General features: G+C 38.4%; 1 protein-coding gene across 5 annotated transcripts in view; it reads left to right on the top strand.

Annotated features, from left to right (window-relative positions):
• Nucleotides 1-23,079, top strand: part of CNTN3 (contactin 3) — a 352,092-nt gene that overhangs the window by 320,465 nt on the left and 8,548 nt on the right. For all 5 annotated transcript variants that reach the window (NM_020872.3, NM_001393376.1, XM_011533768.3 and 2 more), the window contains one exon: nucleotides 8,704-8,890. In NM_020872.3, the coding sequence (NP_065923.1) occupies nucleotides 8,704-8,890 (187 nt within the window). The remainder of the gene's footprint in view (nucleotides 1-8,703; nucleotides 8,891-23,079) is intronic.

The following is a 23,079-nucleotide window of genomic DNA, read 5'->3' as shown; positions in this document are numbered from 1 at the left end:
CCACAGCTGTCTTCTTATGAAGCTTCCCTCCAAGCTTCCCTGAGGAAGCATGTAACTCCTGATTCAGTGGCAGGCTTACACAGGCAGGTTTGCATCACAGGGCCACATACCCCTCCACTTGCCAACACACCTTCAAATGAGGGTTCCAGGGTGGTCTCTTGATCAAATGTAAATGCTCTGTGGACTGTGAAGCCTAGCAAGTCAGATTCTTGTTTGAGATATTTATATAAGAAATTATAGAGATTATAGTTAGTGAGTGTAATGCAGTAGTGTGTCAAATTTAGGGCTCAGTTCAGACTTCTCAAACTAAGGCCATGGACAGGCAGGACAAAGCTAATCTGCAGAGATGAGATACACTGTCATGCATCCCTAAAGAATGGAGGAGACAAGGGCCCATGGAACCTGCAAGAGGGCAGAATAAGCCAGGTGTGGTGGCTTGCGCCTGTAATCCCAATACTTTGGGAGGCAAATGCAGGAGGATTGCTTGAGCCCAGGATTTCACGACTGGCCTGGGCAACTTAGTGAGACCCCATCTCAACAAAATATACAAAAATTAGCCAGGCATGGTGACACATGCCTGTAGTCCTAGTTACTTGGGAGGCTGAGATGGGAGAATTGCTTGAGCCCAGGAGGTCGAGGCTTCAGTGAGCCGTCATCCTGCCATTGCACTGTAGCCTGGATGACAGACTGAGATTCTATCTCAAAAAAAGTGGGGGCAGCCAGAATAAAGTAGCTCTTTGACAGTCATTCAGTTATCATATGACTTGGCTTTATTCTTTTTCATAATGTAACCTTGCCCTTCTTTTTAATAGATTCTCCTTATATTTGAACTGCCTTGAAAGAGTTTCTGTTCCTTGCAACCAAACAAGCATCGACTTGAATTAATATTAAAAAATTAAGAAAAGAAAGGATAGGGAATAGAGCAATGATGCTCAAAGTATGGGCTGTGAACCCCCTACAGCAGAATTACCTGAAGGTGTTGTTAAAATTGAGCTCCCACAGCTCTCCCAGGACCCACTCAATCCAAACATTTAGGACTAGGTCTTGTTAGTGTATATTTTTAGTAACTATCTGTAAGGAAACATCTTCCTGCACAGTTAAACATAATAAACACTGGTCTTGACAGAGAAGCCTGATCAGAGACAGAATAGTCTGGACTTAAGGAAGAGAGAGTATGAAGAAGTAAAACACCACATAAATACAGGAGAACAACTTAATGCACATCTTTTAAAGGAAGCCAGGAACAGCTGGATGGAAGATTCCTTTAATTCCATGACAATAGATGAAAGCAATGAAAGATGATGGGGAGCCAACAGTAGCTCCCTTGTGGTTAAAGAACTGGCAGTGGCATTGGCAATGGAGGTAAAGATATAGGGGCTGGAAGGAGCACAGCTGTAAGGGATTGTGGCTCTGAGGCCAGTCCCATAGCAAATCCCAATTCTACCACTTGCCAGCTGTGTTTGGAAAATTACATAAACTCTGTGATCCTCGTTTTCCTCACCTGTAGAATGGGGACAATAATAGGCCTAACCTCATTAGGATATTGGGAGGATTGGATAAGATTAGGTATGTAATGAGATTCTCATAATTTCTGGCTCTTTATTTATTTATCTATCTATTTATTTTTGAGACGGAGTTTTCGCTCTTGTTGCCCAGGCTGGAGTGCAGTGGCATGATCTCAGCTCACCACAACCTCCCCCTCCTGGGTTCAAGCAACTCTCCTGCCTCAGCCTCTCTAGTAGCTGGGATTACAGGTGCACGCCACCACGCCCAGCTAACTTTTGTATTTTTTAGTAGAGATGGGGTTTCTCCATGTTGGTCAGGCTAGTCTCTAACTCTCAACCTCAGGTGATCTGCCTGCCTTGGCCTCCCAAAGTGCTGGGATTACAGGCGTAAGCCACTGCACCTGGCCAGTTTCTGGCTCATCATAATAAACAGTCAGTAGGTGTGAGACATCCCTCAGAAGAATTTTTGAGATATTAATGTATCTATTTCTCTCCAGTAAATATTCTGTAGCAAATAATTGACAGTAATCTCCCTTAACTCAAGGGATTATGCCAAAAGCTATCAAAAGGAGTTGCCTGCAAGACACTTCCCTTCCTAGCTTTGTTTCAAAACTTCAGGCCATTAGGCAGATTGTTCCGTGTTTCTTGGAGGGTCACAGGAGGAAAATTGCAACTGAGGAAAACATAGAAGAGAAATTTCCAATGACATTGGCAGACATAAATGTCTGAAGCTTACAAAGCCTCCTGGGGGCTACATCTTTCTAAAGCAGTGCCCAGGTTGACGGCAAGATTGAACAACTGTGTTTCCCACACTCGGCAGTGATTTCTCACTCACCAAACATGGCCCCCAGCTGCTAGAATTAAAGGGCTCAAATCAAACACAAAAGTAAGTGATCTTGGGGGCTTTGGGAAGGGAGCCACAGGAATGACTGTGGCTGAATCTCCCATTAGCTGAGCAGGATATGGAATTCAATGTTTGATCAAATTTATTTAAAGAAAATAAATGAACACTGCTGGGCGCGGTGGCTCACACCTGTAATCCCAGCACTTTGGGAGGCCGAGGCAAGCAGATCATGAGGTCAGGAGATCGAGACCATCCTGGCTAACACAGTGAAACCCTGTCTCTACAAATATACAAAAAATTTTTAGTAGAGAGGAACACTTTTACACTGTTGGTGGGACTGTAAACTAGTTCAACCATTGTGGAAGACAGTGTGGCAATTCCTCAAGGATCTAGAACTAGAAATACCATTTGACCCAGCAATCCCATTACTGGGTATATACCCAAAGGATTACAAGTTATGCTGCTATAAAGACACATGCACATGTATGTTTATTGTGGCACTATTCACAATAGCAAAGACTTGGAACCAACCCAAATGTCCATCAATGATAGACTGGATTAAGAAAATGTGGCACATATACACCATGGAATACTATGCAGCCATAAAAAAGGATGAGTTCATGTCCTTTGTAGGGACATGGATGAAGCTGGAAACCATCATTCTCAGCAAACATATTGCAAGGACAGAAAATCAAACACCACATGTTCTCACTCACAGGTGGGAACTGAACGACGAGAACACTTGGACACAGGGTGGGGAACATCACACACTGGGGCCTGTCATGAGGTGGGGGAAGGGGGGAGGGATAGCATTTGGAGATATACCTAATGTAAATGATGAGTTAATGGGTGCAGCACACCAACATGGCACATGTATACATATGTAACAAACCTGCACATTGTTCACATGTACCCTCGAACTTAAAGTATAAAAAAAATAAAAAAGTAAAAAAGTAAAAATAAATAAATAAATAAAAATACAAAAAATTAGCCGGGCGTAGTGGCAGGTGCCTGTAGTCCCATCTACTCAGGAGGCTGAGGCAGGAGAATGGCATGAACCAGGGAGGCAGAGCTTGCAGTGAGCCGAGATCACGCCACTGCACTCCAGCCTGGGCAACACAGCGAGACTCCGTCTCAAAAAAGAAAAAAAGAAAATAAATGAACACATATGGCAGTCCTCAGATGAGAGACTGACATGCACACTCACCATGAACAATGTTGTCCTTTACAGAAATCATGACAGGATCATAATTCTTGACCTAGTCGTAACTTGTAAAATAGTTAAGAAAAATAAATGGAAGAATATACATGAATGGCTTGTGGGATTCCAAACCGAACAGAGTGCTAGCAGTCACTGGTGGTTGTTGAACAGCTTAAGGCAGGTAGATGTTGATTTTTTAATATAGTCATGCACTACATAATGATATTTCAGTTTAGGACAGATGACACATACAACAGTGGTCCCCTAAGATTACAATACCACAATTTTACTTTACCTTTTCTATGTTTATGTATGTTTGAATATACAAAAATGTACAATTGTGTTACACTTGCCTACAGTATTCAGTACAGTAACATGCTGTACAGGTTTATAGCCTAGGAGCACTACGCTACACCATCTAACATAGGTGTGTAGTAAGTTATACCATGCAGGTTCGCATAATTGCACTCTACGATGTTCACACAATGCAACAACCATCTAATGATACATTTCTCAGAATGTATCCCTGTCATCGTAACACATAACTGTATATAAATTTAGGTCAATAAGAAGTCATCCAGATAAGGATATTTTATAAGAAAGGAGAATTACACCATTATTGGTCACACCAAGAAAGAGAGTTTCACTGAAAGACAGAAAATTTAAAAATCCTCATAGAACCGTCACAGTGTCTAGTTAAGTCCACACCATTTTAGAATTAGACAAACCTGTGTTCAGATCTGCTAGTTTGAATACAAACTCTACAAGGAGAAGGTAACTCAGCCTTTTTCCTCATTGATCTATCCCAAGTGCCTGGAGTAGTATCTGACATACAGGAGGCATGCAAAAAATATATGTTGATTGAATAACTGCAGTTTGGGCTCTGCTACCCTGTTGCTGTATGGCCTTGAGCAAGTTGTTCGAGCTCTCCAAGGCTCAGTTAAAATAGAGATAATAATAACTCACAGCATTGTTTGCAAATTAAATGAGATAAAGCAGCTATTGTCAAAATGGCCGAAAGAGACTTAGGGCTGTCACTTTTCTCTGTTTTGAATATTGGGCTTTGGGATGAGATTGTACTGAAGAAAAAAAAAGCAAACCAGTGAAGTAATATATAGTGATGTAGCACAATCCCAGTGTGGGACCCAGTGGCCACCATTTCTAATGCATGCTGATATTGCCATCAAAGTGGGGCACAGAAAGATGAGAAGAGCTATGGGAAAATGGGACTTTCTTGAAATTAATTACAGGTTGAAATGCATTGCCGCTTGCCTGTTTGTGTAAAGAGTAGCAAATAGAATGTCCAAATGTAGCATGAATACAGTATTGAAAGGAAACAACGATTAAACATTTCTTCCCCAAATGCTTGGTAAGTATAAAGAAAAAGGAAACAAGCTGAAAGAAGTACTAATTGGGAAAATCTTACAAAATAATTTATGTAATTACACCAAGATAAAAATATGTCTTTTCTTAGTTTCAGTAATGATTTAAAAATTAACCTTGGTTGGGGGAGAAGGACTTGGCAGAGTATTTAATTATCAGTCGTGTGGCTAACTTTTCTGGGTTGCAGTTTCCCCAGTTTGGCTTTAAAATTGTTAATAGCTCCTTCCTTTCTCTCATCTCAGTGAGGGTTGATCATGTGCCATGTGGCATGCTGAGCACACATCATCATTAGCATCTAGACTAATTTTCTTTCTGATTTGACCAAGCAGTAGTTGAGAAGCTCATTTCCCTGGGCTCCAATTTATTTCATCAGCTAAGCCGTTACACTCAGGCTCAGATCTTTTCTGGTGCCCTTTTGGGTTGGAACAAGAGATACAGACATGATGAAGAGAGGCAGAAGGCTTTAAGTTCATGGATCCTGGGTGCCTGAGGAATGAAAGCTCCCACGTTCTAGTGCAGTATCTACAGTCCATTTTTTTAAAGTCCTTCTCTGTTTTGAAAGAACCAAATTTGGGAGAATGACCTTGATAAATGATTAAAACAAGTCTACGCTTGTGAAATGATACAGATTAGCATATTTTGGAGGAATCAGTCTTTTTTTTAAGTTTGGCAGAAGAATGTAATTAATGTGCCATAATAGAATGCCAAACTTAAACTTCATTGATGCCTTCTTCCAGCCTCCTGTTCCAAACAGCTGTACGGAATGTGTTCCTGATATTTGAATTAGAATGAAAAAAGATGTAGGCCAGGCGTGGTGGCTCACACCTGTAATCCCAGCACTTTGGGAGGCCGAGGAGGGTGGATCACCTTAGGTCAGGAGTTCGAGTCCAGGATGGCCAACATGGTGAGACCCTGTCTCTACTAAAAATACAAAAATTAGCCAGGCATAGTGGCAGGCACCTATAATCCCTGCTACTCAGAAGGTTGAGGCAGGAGAATTGCTTGAACCCAGGAGGTGGAGATTGCAGTGAGCCAAGATCGTGCCACTATATTCCAGCCTGGGCAACACAGTGAGACTCTGTCTCAAAAAAAAAAAAAAAAAGAAAAGAAAAGAAAAGAAAAAAGATGTCAAATATGTGAGTACTTTTTTTGAGACTATGAAAATGTCACTGGAAAAAAAAGACTTATGCATTAGGTCTAATTCCCTGCAATCGGGCAAAGAATTCACTGTAGCACAAGTTGAATGCACATGGGAAAATAAGATACAGACAATTGAGGCATACTGAAATAAATATGACAGGCAAAAATGCATTCAAGTGAGTATAATGCAGACTTTTGAAGAGGGTCAAAGGGTTGGTTTTACTGGAGAGAGCCATAGCAGTAGCCTTTTGTGAGTGAGGGTTGCCTAAATGGTGCTGTATTCTTTATTAGGCAAAGATATTCCATACCAAATGGTGGCTCAGCATTGGGGAATGCAGGGTAATAAATATCCCAGCCTCTCTTTCCTTCCACCCTCCCATCACCAGCATCCTATTACCTACACCCAGCGAGAAGCCACAGGGCAAAGGAGCCAGACTGACAATAGTTCATACCAGTCAGCTCTCCTAGGGACTGAGAGCAGAGTGAAGAAGAGTGGAAGACAGATCTGGAGTTGTCTTCCTAAAAGACCTTTAATGCATTTTTACCTGCTTTTTATTTATTTAAATGTGTCTGGTCTAACTGCTAAGTTAAAATATTTGTCTTTGAAAATCTATTAGTATGAACATAATTCTTTTTGTCTATTAAAAGAGTATTTCTGATATAATACCTATTCTTTAATGGCTGAACAATGCCATTTTAATAGATTATTTTTATAAGCTGCATTTCATTTTTAAATTTAAATTAAGTGAAATCTCTGCTGCAGTGGTATTAAGGACTCTTCACAATAGGAACATTCTTTATGGAAAAATCAAATTACTGGAACTAATAGGGATATTTTTAATTCTGATATTTCTCAACTGTGTTTCTGTTTACTTACCCAAATAAAAATATATTGGTTTGTGAAATGGTTTTATGATTCTGAAGGAAAAAATTGTATTGCCTCATCAAGAAATTGGAGTTTTGATGTCTCATGGATGAATACAGTATTGAGACTTGAATACGAAGCCTGGCGAATCTCTGCCATAGGAAGGAGGGAGGCATTTTTAAACTATGTTCAGGTCATTCAACAATTCAACAGCAGTTAATGGTTAGTATGTACAGGCTTTGCTGCGAACAGTTAAAGATATGGTGATAACCAAGACAGACAAGCCCCTGCCTCAGGTGTGTGAATCCACCTTAACATCCTTTCCCTCCTGCTGTCTGCTGGGTGAGGAAATGCAGTTAATTCCTGTCCCAGGTGCACATCCTCACTGGCAAACCAAGGCATAGTCACTCACGACTGCTCAAGAAGATAGCCTGTATCTCTCAGGTGTCTGGCAATGAAAAATGATTGAGAACCACAATTCAGTCTTAACAACCCTCTCCCCTGGAGTGGATTTGCCTTTTATTTTTCCTACTCTAAACTCAGAGTGAATTTGCAATAGGAAAATTGCTGCGTTTCTTCAGTTCTGGAAAATTATCAGCCTTTTTCCCTTTGAATATTGGTTTTTCCTCAGTCTCTCCTTCTGGAACTCCAGTTAGAACTTTTCATTCTACCCTCAGTGTCCCTTAACTTTGCTTTTGTAATGTTTATTTCTCTATACAGGCTCTGTTCTGGGTTAATTAGTTCCCTTTTCCACCATAAGTCTTCAGCTTAATTCTATCATTGATTTTATTTTTTTAATAATTGTAATTTTTTAGGTCTATAAGCCCTGCATATTATTTTTCAAATCTGATTTTTTTTAAATCTTCTGTCATTGCATAGTAGATTCAGTTTCTTCTTTAGTAAATCTAGACATGTTAAACAGTTATTTTAAAATTTGTTTCAGATCAGCGTATTCCAGCTCATCTTCCACTGGTTGGGTCTGCTGACATTTTCTTGCTAGCAGGGTTCCTCGTATGCTTTGTAATACTTGTCTCTCTGCTTATCTTCTGTAGATGCTACCTTCATGTTCTGTCAACCTTACGTTCACTCTTTTCTGAACAATTACATTTCCAAATTTGGTTCCTTCAGACTAGACACTTTTTCTTCTCCATCCCTGTACTGTAGTTGTGCCTATCAAATCCAAATTAGCATAGAGATAGTCTGTTCTTTCAGTTGTAGTACTTTGACTATTTAAATCCAAAACACAACTAAGAAAGAAAATGATGTCATCTTTTTTATTTCTTTCTTGACTTTTCCACATTTTTAAAAAATGATCTGGCCTTATGTAAACATTTTTGAGCAAAATTGTATAGAACACAGCAATACTTACAGAAAATTGGCAATATTAATGGTAACACTTTGTTCCTATTTTTAATTTTATATATATATATATATATATATATATATATATATATATATATATATATCTCCCCTTCATTCTCCCACTTATAATCTCATAGTCTGGCTTGCTCAGCATTTGTTCTGTTTGAATTTATCTGGTTCATATATTTATTTGTTCATTATTTTTCTCCTCCTAGAGTCCCTTTTCTCTATCTTCACTGCTGTGACACACAGCCTAATGCAGCACCTAGCACATAGTAGGTCTTCAGTAAATATTGGTTGAACAAATCAGGAAATAAGTCAGTGCCCATTTTAATGAAAATCACTTAATGGAAAGGGCAGAATTTTTTAAGCCTTCACATGTTTGGTGTCTTCCGCCCACCAGGTGCGGTACTGGAATGGGGGTGGAAAGGAGGAATCATCCAGTAAGATGAAAGTGGCAGGAAATGAGACATCAGCCAGACTACGGGGCCTGAAGAGCAACCTGGCCTATTACACGGCTGTCCGGGCTTACAACAGTGCCGGCGCTGGGCCTTTTAGCGCCACAGTTAATGTAACCACCAAGAAAACGCGTAAGTATATTCTGATTTCTTTGAATGGTACGGAAAATAGTTTGCATTAAAAAGGATAGCCTTCTCTATTATTTGAAATGGACAACCCAAGTCATTAATCTCACTAGATTATATAAACCTAACTCCAAAACCTAACTCCAAAACCCAACTCCAAAACCCTTGTCCTCATGATATCCCTAAATCTTTAGGTAGAGTGTGAAAATGAACGTGCACCTTCTGAAAAAATCTTAGTGTGGGGTGTTAGGTTAAATCTATCCCCTTTTCTTTTAAAATATGATAAGCTTAGTTGGGTTTACTTTCATGTATTTTTAGTTTCCCAAAGCTTGAGGATTTCTGATAAGCATGAATAAGTTAAAATTAATGCCGAAGAATCAGGAGTGATTTTTCCTTCTTTATCTTTCTTTCCTCCATCATACAAAAAATGGCAATGTGCATTAAATGGTTATCAGCAAAAGATGATGGTCCTGTGAATGTGTTGATACTTTAAAAAATCTAACCAGAGTTGTCAGTGTTGCTTTCAAAGCTGAGTTTTTGTTAGCTGTGTATTCACAGGTAAATTCGCCAGCTGCAATCATGAGTTACAATTATATTAGTCTACAAGAAAGTCAGTGATTTACAATTTGCTAATGTTCCACACATATTTCAGTTAATCTAATAGCATAGTATACATTTAATCATTGTGTTTTATTGTTTTATTGGTACTTACAATGCAAATGTTTAAGTTACTATTGTCATTGCCCTCATCTTAGCTAATAGTGATTGAAAACATTCTGTATCCCAAGTAATTTATGCTCATTCCCACATTTAATCCTCATAACTACTCCCAAGAGGTAGGTGCCATTATTATCTCTATTTTAAAGGTGATAGAAGTATGGCTTGAAAGGATTAGGTAACTTACGCGCAGTGATACCATACTTTTACTTGCAGAAAATTGTTTTCTTAATTTATTTTTCAAATTTCTTAATTTAATAAAAATGTTTGCTTAACTAACTTTATGTAAGAATGAGACAATTTTTATGCTTGGTTGCTAATTTCATTGACGCATTTCTGTTTCCATATCATTTCCAATTTTTTTGAAAACATACTTTTTTGTCTAAAATTGCAAAGAACTTCAATAATATAAAGTTGAATATGATTGGCTAGCATTTTTTATGGTTAACTTAAAGTAATGTAAGACAGTTCTGCTACTTTAGATGTTAATTAGCACGTGTAAATTTGATTAAAGAAGTTTGTGTGTTTATCTTTGTATTAGGTATAGAAAAAAGAGTGTGGCTAACAATTGGCTAGTACAATGAGCATTGCAGAGCACAAATTTAGCAAGAAACCATTTGAATTTCTATAGCAAGACCCATTTGTAAGCAACCGACTAATGTAACAATTTAACATGATCCTTATCTAATTATTATAGGAAGTCTAATCTACCTGTTTTTCATACCACTTGGTTGCTGTTAGACCAAAGAGCACATGGGTTTGGAAATACAGATACAAAAAAACTCTGTATTTACAACTCTTTACTAAATATGTTTGGTTTTCTCAACAATTCTTACTGAATCAATATGGTCTAAATATACATCATTATTTATATATTCCAAACACAGCATCAATCAAAGATTCTGATTGCAAAAATATATGCAAACAAATTTGTCTGGCTCTTTTCTCTGACTTAATAATTGATGTGATTACTTGCTAGGAAATTATGATAGTAAAAGACAGTGTAACATCATGGTGGAATCAGTGAAGAACTTAGTGGATTAGTAAGACAGAAGGAAGAGACTGATTAGAAATCAATAGAAATGTCATGATAATGTACAATGAATGAATGAAAATTTTAAAAAGAAGCCAAATCCCTTTACAATTTAGGGATAGCATATAAACGCCCAATCCGAAGTAGAAATTTGCACAAAACAGTGATGCTGATAATTATGGTTGACACTTACTGAGCAATTTCCGGTCATGGTTCTAAGTAATTTTCATGTATTGATTCTTAATTCCCACAGCAATGTCATGACTTGAAGGTATTAGCATGCTTACTTTAGAGAGGAGGAAGCTGAGGCATATGGAGGTTATATAATGGTACTGACATTGCAGAGTAAGTAACAGGATGGGCATCCAAATCCATAGTCTTAACCACTATGGTATCCTCTCTTTCAGCCATATTGTTAGAATTTCATCACTCATTTAATACCTTTATTTATTGTGATTTTGCTCTGTGCTTAGGAACTGGGTAAGATGATCACAGGTGGTCATGGCTTCTCTGCTCATGGAGCTTTAGTTTGATGGGAAATCCAGCAACTGAATGAAATCTCTCAAAAACAATGTTCTGCTATTATTCAACTGGAGTTCATCTAGAGTCTTTAGGTTGATCTGTAGATGTTATTAAGGACAATTTCCTACGTTGGGTGGGAAATTCATATAGATCATTAAAATCCCCAGTCATCCTAAAATGGCATATAAAGAACATATGTTAATTTTTAAATTTTATGTTAATAATTTTTAAATATGTACCAAAATTTCAAGTAAAACAGAATCTCTTAGAGCCATTAATAATATTGTTACTGGTAGCTCTAAATAGTCTTCCTAAGCTTTGACATGGTTTAACTGCAAATCCTATTTAAAATTTTGGTAAGGCTCTTGTGATTATCACTATGAAGAGAATTACTTGTCTGCCTTGGCATAAAGAGCAAAAATAACATTTTTGATTACCTGCTTGCTATCGCTCTTCCCCTATGGATTCTAAACTTTACAGGGAAAGAGTCCTTCTGTGTCTTATTTACCCAGCCACAGTGCCCAGCACAAACCCAGCACATAGGAGCAGCATATTAAATGTTGAATGGATGAATGAAACTTAGAGAAGCAAGCCAAACCTCAAGTACTATTATTAATCAAATGTACTTCCTCTTGACTGCACATTGCAAATTCAAAACATGCTACAGTTCTTTACCATCTCACTTAAAATGTGCAAGTTTCATGTACTCATCATTATGGAATTTTGTATGCAAGGCTTTAAATCAGTACAGATTTTAGATGATATTTCTGATTAATGTAAAATAACACAAGGATTCTCAAGTACTGTAGCTTCCATTAAACACTTAATTTTTGATATCCAAATACTTGTGTTTTTTAGAAGCATTTTTAAGTTAAACACTAATTAGCCTCTTTAAGTAATCTAAGATGGGTTTCTGTCATTTGCCACCAAAGAGAGCAAACTCTTAACAGCATCTTTCATCTCAAGGGACTGATGAATAAAATTTGCAGATGGCTTAAAAATGATAAGTTGCATTAGTTTCTAAAAAGAAACATTGAGAATTTTATGTTGAGTTTGCAAGAGATAATCTGTAGGATAAATATTCTGCTTTGTATAATCAAAAAGTCAAGTGGTGATTCTGACATTCAGTATGAATGGATCCAGACACTCAAACAACATTCACCACAATCATGTAATAAGATCTCAAATTTAATAAAACTGAATTATTGGTTCTCCTTCCAACCCATTTAAATCCTCTCTCTTCTGTGATAGTCCCCATTTCCATAAATTCCACTCCAATGTTTCAGTTTCTCAAGCCAAAAATCTCAGAGTCACCCTCGAGTCATTTTCTCTCATACCCTACGCTAGATCCAGAATCTTACTTTTAGATTTATCAAGAATTTACCACTTCTGGCCAGGCACGAGGACTCACGCCTATAATCCCAGCACTTTGGGAAGCCAAGGTGGGATGATTGCTTGAGCTCAGGAGTTCGAGACCAGCCTGGGCAACATAGTGACACTGTCTCACTATGCTGAGACAGAGAAAAATATAAGAGAATTAACCAGGTGTGGTGGTGTGTGCCTGTACTCCCAGCTACTCAGGAGGCTGAGGTGGGAGGATTCCTTGAGCCTAGGAGATCGATCAGAGCTGCACTGAACCGTAATTGTGCCACTGCACTTCAGCGTGGGCAACAGAGTAAAACCCTGTCTCAAAAAATAATAATAAAAATAAAGAAATAAAATATACCACATCTTACACTGCTGACACATCAAGGCAAGCTGCCTCCAACTCTCTCCTGTAGATCAGGGCAATGGCCTCTCACTGTTCATCCTGTTTCTGCCTTTGCCTTGACATCCTGATAATGTCACTTCCCTGCTCAGAACCTTTTTGTCACTTCCCATCCCACTCCAGGTAAATGCTAAATCCTTAAAATGCCCAATGAGGCCTTATACAATCCACTCCCCAATCTCTGCTCTGACTTATTTCCTATTCTTTTCCACCTTGCTCATTCCACTTTACTTCAGGACCTCTGCATGTACTGTTTCCTGTATCTCGAAAGCTCTTCCTCCAGATACCCACATAATGCACTCCCCCATCTCTTCCACGTTGTCACTCAGATATCACCTGGGTGCCACCTGACTGCAGCTCCACCTTTTCTGATGCTCTTGTCTCCTTCCCTGTTTTATCCTTGTGCATAGCCTCAGAGCCACCACATGTACTGTATCTCATGGCTACTCACTTCATCACTGTGTCCCCAGGACATCGTTGTGTCCTGCCTTAGCCGGAGTGTCAGCCCCTTCAGGGCAGAGCTATGGCCTGGTTTGATCATTGCTCTCTTCCCAGAGCTCTACTCCAGTGCTTAAGTAATCACAGTCAGTGCCCAATAAGTATTTGTTGAACAATGACTCTCTCCATCACTGTCTCTGCTCCATGGCAGCATCACTCTAACCAAGTTCTCTCTTCGTGGCAGAAAGATTGCCACCAGCACCTCAAGAGAACTGTTGTCTCTTGGCCAGTCACACTGGGAAAGGTGGGCAGTTTCTTTCTGATTATTCTACCCAGAGCTAAGTAGGCTTCTCATTGATTCATCTTGGGCAAACAACCAACTGTTGTTTCCAGTTGTGAGAAAAACTGGACCAGCCTGGCCTGAAACACATGCCCAGACTCCCCTGGAACAAGGGGATTCTATATTTTTATGCCTTTGCTAATTATTATATGTGTGAGTATACTTGGGGAAAAAGAAGAATGCCAAATGATACAATCACTTTTGCATTTGAGTCTTTGCTTTTCTAAATGAAATGCTCATCCATGTAAGTGGAGCCAAAATCAGTTACCTGAATGTAAGGAAATCAAGTAGGTATGCTTTTTTTTTAATTCAACTTTTTTTATTTGTTTTTTAATTTTTGTGGGTACATTGTAGGTGTATATATTTAAGGAGTACATGAGATCTTTTGATACAGATATGCAATGTGAAATAAGCACATCAGGAAGAATGAAGTATCCATCCCCTCAAACATTTAGCCATTGAATTGCAAACAATATAATTAAACTCTTTAAGTTATATAAAAATGTACAGTTATTATTGACTATAGTCACCCTGTTATGCTATCAAATAGTAGGTCTTAGTCATTCTATTTTTTTGTCCCTGTTAATCTCCACTTATCCCCCTCACCCCAAACCCCTCACTACCCTTCCCAGCCCCTAGTAATCATCCTTCTACTCTCTATGTCCATGAGTTCAATTGTTTGACTTTTATTTTATTATTATTTTTCCATAGGTTAGTGGGGTACAGGTGGTTTTTGGTTATATGAGTAAGTTTTTTAGTGGTGATTTGTGAGATTTTGGTGCACCCATCCCCCAAGTGGTATACACTGCACCCAATTTGTAGTCTTCTGTCCCTTGCCCCCCTCCCAACCTTCCCCCCAAGTCCCGAAAGTCCATTGTATCATTCTTACGCCTTTGCGTCCTCATAGCTAGCTCCCACATATCAATGAGAACATACGATGTTTGGTTTTCCATTCCTGAGGTACTTCATTTAGAATAATAGTCTACTATCTCATCCAGGTCACTGTGAATGCCGTTAATTCATTCCTTTTTATAGCTGGGTAATATTCCATCATATGTGTGTGTGTTTGTATGTGTATGTATATGTATATATATATCACAGTTTCTTTATCCACTCGTTGATTGATGGACATTTGGGTGGATTCCACATTTTTGCAATTGTGAATTGTGCTGCTATAAACATGCATGTGCAAGTATCTTTTTCGTATAATGACTTTTTTTCCTCTAGGTAGATACCCAGTAGTGGGATTGCTGGATCAAATAGTGGTGCTACTTTTGTTCATTAAGGAATCTCCACACTGTTTTCCACAGTGGTTGTACTAGTTTGCATTTCCACCAGCAGTGTAGAAGTGTTCCCTGATCACCGCATCCACACCAACGTGTACTGTTTTTTGATTTTTTATTGATGGCCATTCTTACAGGAGTAAGGTGATATTGCATTGTGGTTTTGATTTGCATTCCTTGATCATTAGTGGTGTTGAGCATTTTTTCATATGTTGGTTGGCCATTTGTATATTTTCTTCAGAGAATTGTCTGTTCATGTCCTTCACCCACTTTTGTATGGGATTTTTTGTTTGTTTTTTTTTCCCGCTGATTTGAGTTCGTTGTAGATTCTGGATATTAGTCCTTTGTCAGATGAATAGATTGTGAAGATTTTCTCCTACTCTTTAGGTTGTCTGTTTACTCTGCTGACTGTTGCTTTGCCATGCAAAAGCTCTTTAGTTTAATTAAGTTCCAGCTGTTTATCCTTGTTTTTATTGCATTTGCTTTTGGGTTCTTGGTCATGAAATTCTTGCCTAAGCTAATGTTGAGAAGCGTTTTTCCAATGTTATCTTCTAGAATTTTTGTAGTTTCAGGTGTTAGATTTAAGTCCTTCATCCATCTTGGGTTGATTTTTGTATAAGGTGAGAGATGAGGATCCAGTTTCATTCTCCTACATGTGGCTAGCCAATTATATCAGCACCATTTGTTGAAAAGGGGGTCCTTTCCCCACTTTATGATTTTGTTTCCTTTGTTGGAGATCAGTTGGCTGTAAGTATTTGGGTTTACTTCTGGGTTGTCTATTCTGCTCCATTGGTCTATGCTCCTACTTTTGTACCAGTACCATGCTGTTTTGGTGACTATGGCCTTATAGTATAGTTTGAAATCAGGTAATGTGATGCCTCTAGATTTGTTCTTTTTGCTTAGTCTTGCTTTCTGGGCTCTTTTTTGATTCTATATGAATTTTAGAGTTTTTTTTATAATCCTTTGAAGAATATGGTGGTATTTTGATGGGATTTGCATTGAATTTGTAGATTGTTTTTGGTAGTATGATCATTTTCACAATATTAATTCTACCCATCCGTGAGCATGGGATGTGTTTCCATTTGTTTGCACCATCTATGATTTCTTGCAGCAGTGTTTTGTAGTTTTCCTTGTAGAGGTCTTTCATCTCCTGGTTAGGTATATTCATAAGTGGTTTTTTTTTTTTGGCAGCTATTGTAAAAGGGGTTGAGTTTTTGAATTGATTCTCTGCTTGGTCACTGTTGGTGTGTAGAAGAGCTACTGATTTGTGTACCTTAATCTTGTATCTGGAAACTGCTGAATTATTTTATCAGTTCTAGGAGTTTTCTGGATGATTCTTTAGAGTTTTTGAGGTAAACCATCATATCATCAGCAAACAGTGACAGTTTGACTTCTTCTTTACTGATCTGGATGCCCTTTATTTCTTTTTCTTGTCTGATTGCTCTGGCTAGGACTTCCAGTACTAAGTTGAAGAGGAGTGGTGAGAGTAGGCATCCTTGTCTTTTTCCAGTTCTCAGAGGGAATACTTTCAACTTTTCCCTATTCAGTATAATTTGGCTGTGGGGTTGTCATAGATGGCTTTTATTACATTGAGGTATGTCCCTTGTATGCTGATTTTGCTGAGGGTTTTAATCATAAAGGGATGCTGGATTTTGTTGAATGCTTTTTCTGTATCTATTGAGATAATCATGTGATTTTTGTTTTTAATTCTGTTTATGTGGTGTTTCACATTTATTGACTTGTGTATTTTAAAACATCCCTGCATCCCTGAAGTGAAACCTACTTGATCATGGTGGGTTATCTTTTTGTTATGTTGTTGGATTCAGTTAGCTAGTGTTTTGTTAAGGATTTTAGCATCTATGTTCATCAGGGATATCGGTCTGTAGTTTTCTTGTTTGGTTATGTCTTTTCCTGGTGTTAGTATTAGGGTGATGCTGGCTTCATAGAATGAATTAGGGAGGGTTCAGTCTTTATCTTGCTGAATAGTGTAAACAGGATTGGTTCCAATGGTCTGGTAGAATTCTGCTGTGAATCCTTCTGCTCCTGAACTTTTTTAGTCGGTAATTTTTTAATTACCATTTCAGTCTCACTGCTTGTTATTGGTCTGTTCAGGGTATCTAATTCTTCCTGATTTAAGCTAGGAGAGTTGTATCTTTCCAGGAATTTACCCATCCCTTCTAGATTTTCTAGTTTATGTGAGAAAAGGTATTCCTAGTTGTCTTGAATGATCTTTTGTATTTGTGTGGTGTCAGTTGTAATATCTCCCGTATCATTTCTTAGTGAAGTTATTTGGATTTTCTCTCCTCTCTTCTTTGTTAATCTTGCCAATGATCTATCAATTTTATTTATCTTTTTGAAGACCCAGATTTTTGTTTCATTAATCTTTTGTATTTTTCTATTGTTTAAATTTCATTTAGTTCTGCTCTGATTTTGCTTATTTCCTTTCTTCTGCTGAGTTTGGGTTTGGTCTGTTCTTGTTTCTCTAGTTCCTTGAGGTGTGACCTTAGATTGTCAGTTTGTGCTCTTTAAGTCTTTTTTATGTCGGTTTTTAGAGCTATGAACTTTTCTGTTAGCATTGCCTTTGCTGTATCCCAGAGGTTTTGATAGGTTGTGTCAGTATTGTTCAATTCGAATAATTCTTTAATTTCCATCTTGATTTCATTTTTGACTCAATGATCACTCAGGAGCAGGTTACTTTTCATGTATTTGCATGGTTTTAAAGGTTCCTTTTGGAATTGATTTCCAGTTTTATTCCACTGTGGTCTGAGAGAGTGCTTGATATAATTTCAATTTTTTAAAATTTATTGAAGCTCATTTCATAGCCTATCATTTGGTCTATCTTGAAGAAAGTTCCCTTCACTGTTGAATAGAATGTGTATTCTGTGGTTGTTGGATGGAATGTTCCGTATATATCTGTTAAGGCCATTTGTTCCAAAGTATAGTTTAAAACCATTGTTTCTTTGTTAACTTTATGTCTTGATGACTGTCTAGTGCTGTCATGGAGTATTGAAGTCCCCCACTATTATTGTGTGGCTGTCTCATTTCTTAGGTCTATTAATAATTGTTTTATAAATTTGGGAGCTCCAGTGTTAGGTGCATATATGTTTAGGATTGTGATATTTTCCTGTTGGACAAGGCCTTTTACCATTATATAATGTCCCTCTTTATCTTTTTTAACTGCAGTTTCATTAAAGTTTGTTTTGTTTGATATAAGAGTAGCTACTCTTTCTTGCTTTTTGTGTCCATTTGCATGAAATGCCTTTTTCCAGCCCTTTACTTTAAGTTTTCATGTGAGTCCCTATGTGTTAGGTGAGTCTCCTGAAGGCAGCAGATATTTGTTTGGTGAATTCTTACCCATTCTGCAGTTCTGTATCTTTTAAGTGGAGCATTTAGCCCATTTAAATTCAATGTTAGTATTGAGGTGTGAGGTACCATTCCACTCATTGTGCTATTTGTTGCCTGTGTACCTTGGTTTTTGGGTTTTGCTTTTTATGTTTTAAATTGTATTTTTTTTTTATAGGTCCTTTGAGATTTATGCTTTAAAGAGGTTCTGTTTTGATGCGTTTCCAGGATTTGCTTCAAGATTTAGAGCTCCTTTTAGCAGTTCTTGTCGTGGCGATTTGTCTGAAAAAAGACTGTATCTTTCTTTTATATGATGCTTAGTTTCGCTGGATACAAAATTATTGGCTGATAATTGTTTTGTTTGAGGAGGCTGAAGATTGGGCCACAATCCCTTCTAGCTTGTAGGGTTTCTGCTGAGAAATCTGATGTTAATCTGATAGGTTTTCATTTATAGGTTACCTGGTGCTTTTGTCTCACAGCTCTTAAGATTCTTTCCTTCCCCTTAACTTTAGATAGCCTGATGACAAAGTGCCTAGGCAATGATCTTTTTGTGATGAATTTTCCAGGTGTTGTTTCTGGTTCTTGTATTTGGATATCTAGGTCTCTTGCAAGGCTGGGCAAGTTTTCCTTGATTATTCCCCCAAATATGTTTTCCAAACTTTTAGATTTCTCTTCTTAGGAATGCCGATTATTCTTAAGTTTGGTTGTTTAATATAATCCCAGACTTCTTGGAGACAATCATATTTTCTTATTCTTTTTTCTTTGTGTTTGTTGGATTGGGTTAAATTGAGGACCTTGTCTTCACGCTCTGAATTTCTTTCTTCTACTTGTTCAATTCTATTGCTGAGACTTTCCAGAGCATTTTGCATTTCTATATATGTGTCCAGTGTTTCTGGAAGTTTTAATTTTTTGTATTTATGCTATCTATTTCATTGAATATTTCTTCCTTCACTTCTTGTTTCATTTTTTGGATTTCCTTGTATTGGGCTTCACTTTTCTCTGGTGCCTCCTTGATTAGCTTAATAACTAACTTCCTGAATTCTTTTTCCAGTAAATCAGGGATTTCTTCTTTGTTTGGATCCATTGCTGGTGAGCTAGTATGATTTTTGGGGGTTGTTAAAGAGCCTTGTTTTGTCATATTACCAGAGTTGTTTTTCTGATTCCTCCTCATTTGGGTAGGCTCTGTCAGAGGGAAGGTGTAGGGCTGAAGGCTGTTGTTCAGATTCTTTTGTCCCATAGTGTGTTCCCTTGATGTAGTACTCTCCCCCTTTTCCTATGGATGTGGCTTTCTGAGAGCCAAGCTGTAGTGATTGTTTATGTCTCTTCTGGGTCTAGTCACCCAGCATGTCTACCAGGCTCGGGCTTGTACTGGGGGTTGTCTGCATAGAGTCCTATGATGTAAACCATCTATGAGTTTCTCAGCCATGGATACCAGCACCTGTTCCAGTGGAGGTGGCGGGGCTGTGAAATGGACTCTGTAAGGCCCTTAGCTTTAGTGGTTTAATGCTCTATTTTTGTGCTGGTTGGCCTCCTGCTGGGAGGTGGCGCTTTCCAGAGAGCATCAGCTGTGGTAGTATGGAGAGGAACAGTTGGTGGGCCGGGCCCTAGAACTCCCAAGAGTATATGCCTTTTGTGTTCAGCTACCAGGGTGGGTAGGGAAGGACCATGAGGTGGGGGCAGGACTAAGTGTGTCTGACCTCCTCCTACAGCAGGTCTTGCCGTAGCTGCTGGGGGGATGGGCGTGAGGTTCCCAGGTCAATAGAGTTATGTACCTAGGAGGATTATGGCTGCCTCTGCAGAGTCATGCAGATTGTCAGAGAAGTGAAGGAAAGCCAGCAGTCACAGGCCTTACTCAGCTCCCACGCAATCCAAAGGGCCAGTCTCACTCCCACTGTGCCCCCACTGACAGCAAAAAAGTCCGTTTCCAGGCAGTGGGCAGGCAGGGCTGAGAAGTTTCCCCAGGCTACCCACCTCCCAGCTGGGAAAGAAAAGGGCTCTAATTCTTCCTCCACCTATAAAGTCTGCACGCCAGATTCACTCTCTCCCCCAGGTTCTGGCCAGGAAGCTTCTCAACCAGTTAAAATAGTTACAAAGTTCAGCTGGAGATTTCCTTCTTGTGGTGGTTTCCTCGTGCCTCTGGCCACCCTCCCGAAGGATCCCTGTGATGCCAGGCAGGAGTGGCCTGCTTGGGGACCCAGCGAACTCACAGGGCCTTTCCCGCTGCTTCTTCTACCCCTGTATTTCACTCAGCTCCTAAATTGACTCAGCTCTCAGCTCCAGGTAAGGTCGGAATCTTCTCCCATAAATTAGACCTTCAGTTTCCCCAGTGGGGGTATGTGTTTGGGGGTGGAGGACCTCCCTTTCCCACTTCCACAGTTTGAGCAATCACAGTATTTGGGGTGTCTCCTGGGTCTTGCAGGAGCAATCCACTTCCTTCAGAGGGTCTGTGGGTCCTCTCAGGTTTCCTGTTTTATTCCTGCAGTTGTTCTGGAACTAAAATTCACAATGCAAGCCTCCACACACTGCTCTGTCCATCCGAGTCGGAGCTGCAGTCTAGGCCTGCCTCCCGTTTGCCAGGATCTGTTCCAAGTAGGTGTGTCTTGGGGAAGTGAAAAGGAAATGTGAATAAGGCAAGCACTGAAAGAATGAGTCTGAATGTTTCAGACGGTTTTTATTAAATGACTATTGCTACCTCAAACACAGAATTTGGAAGTTCTAAAATTTTTATATATATGACTTAATTGTATAATTGTCCAGTCTGGGTTTTGGCTCAGGATACACATTATTGCAAAGTTTTCCAAATTTCATATGTGATCCACCTATTTTGCCATTTTTTCCAACCTTTTCTATTAATATATATCTACTATTTTTTTCTTAAAAATTGACCTTCTATTTTTACTTAGATAAATTTAAAAAAATGGAAACTAGCTTTTTATCTGAGCAATGTAGAACCAGCATCATTGCCATAAATAGATGCTAACCAAATAGTAAGTTTAATAATAATAAGTAGAATGAAAAATAGACCACCCTCCTTTTTAAATACTAGGAACATATTCTTGCCTGTTGAAACCTCCAAACCTGCTCCCTCTTTGTTTGTGATGTTAGTATAGAGGGGATATTAAAGACCTACTGGCTCCCAAATCTAACTTTCTCTTCAAGCTATGGGAAGATTACAAGGGAATTTTTCTGCAGGTGACTGAATGCTATTTGTTGGCTTTTCTGTGCATCACATCCCCCAGTGCATGTGATCTAATCATGTTTGTATATGACACACCATAAATCACACATATAATGCAATACAAGCCTATCAATGTGCATTCCTCAGATTCAGGAGGGTGTTTTTTTCCCCCATCTATGGGCTTCAGCAAAGTTATTCCTAGTTTTGTAAGCTCTGAAGAAACATAACAATATAATATTGAACTTTACCAGTATTCAAACAGGAATTTTCTGCTAATATAGAATCAGGAAAAATTCTGACTAAATGTGTAAAACTTATGAACTTTATTTTGTAAGAGTTTTGGCACTTTTTTGAAAATCTGCCCCACTTGCCTGTGAATCTTCTAGACCAAGATTGTCCAACCCACAGCCAGAGAGCCACATGTGGCTCAGGACAGCTTTGAATGCAGCCCAACACAAATTCATAAACTTTCTTAAAACATTATGAGATTATTTTGTGATTTTTTTTAAAGCTCATCAGCTATCGTTAGTGCATTTTATGTGCAGCCCAGAACAATTCTTCTTCTTCCACTGTGGCCCAGGGAAGCCAAAAGATTGGACACCCCTGCTCTAGACAATTGTAAGTGTTCTGCTTATAGTTTATAATCTCACATATTTTTATTATGCAAAGGAGAACTTTTGGTCAAGGAAATTCCTAGACGTCGAAAACCAAAAATCAAAGAAAGACCTTCCCTGGCGTTCTAGGTTGGGTTTCAGACGAGTTAAAAAGTAGATGATTTTGTTGTGTTTTAAAACATTGTGTCAATTTCCTTTGATAAGAAATTAGATCCATTTATAATAGTTTTCAGTGATTCCAAAACAACCGTATCTTACTATTGGGGGGGTGCATAATTGGCTTTTGTTTTTGATTACATGATCGTTGCACAATACCACATGTTTAAGCAGCTTAGTTACAAATGTTAATAATTATCTTAAGTGAAGTCCAAGTGCAAAGCGTAACTTCTAGCTACTAGTTATAACAACTTTTTATCAGGTAAGTCATCTCATTACCATCAGATGGCCAAGAAAAAGAGTTGAGAAACATACTGAGTTTTGTATAATTAATCACAGCAAACATATGTTCTTAAAATTTCATATTTTGAAAGTAAATGCCAGCTTCACTGTTACCACTATGAGACATCACCATTGAAAGCTCCAGGCAATAATATTCTTTAACAACCTCTACTTTGTATTATATAAAGGAAAACATTTATTTTAGAAAATTTGGGGGAAAAAGTCTATAGAGAAAAAATAAAATTCACTCATAATCCTATCACTCAGAAATACCATAATTAATATCATTTGTCTTTCCTTCCAGACTTCTGTTCTATGAAAAGTTTCTCTTATACAGTGGAGGTTATGCTGTGTATTTTGTTACCTGTATACTGTATCGTAACTGCCCGTGGATGATATTCCATTGTGATGAACGCCACAATTTATTTAGCCATTTTCCTGTGGATAGACATGTCTTATATTCCCACCTTCCCAGTTTCATCTAATCATGGTTATATGATAGTAATCACTTGTTTTCAGGCA

Source organism: Homo sapiens, chromosome 3 (assembly GCF_000001405.40).
Source record: "Homo sapiens chromosome 3, GRCh38.p14 Primary Assembly".
NCBI lineage: Eukaryota > Metazoa > Chordata > Mammalia > Primates > Hominidae > Homo > Homo sapiens.
Note: the sequence above shows the minus strand (reverse complement) of the source record. Positions and strands in the feature narration are given on the sequence as shown.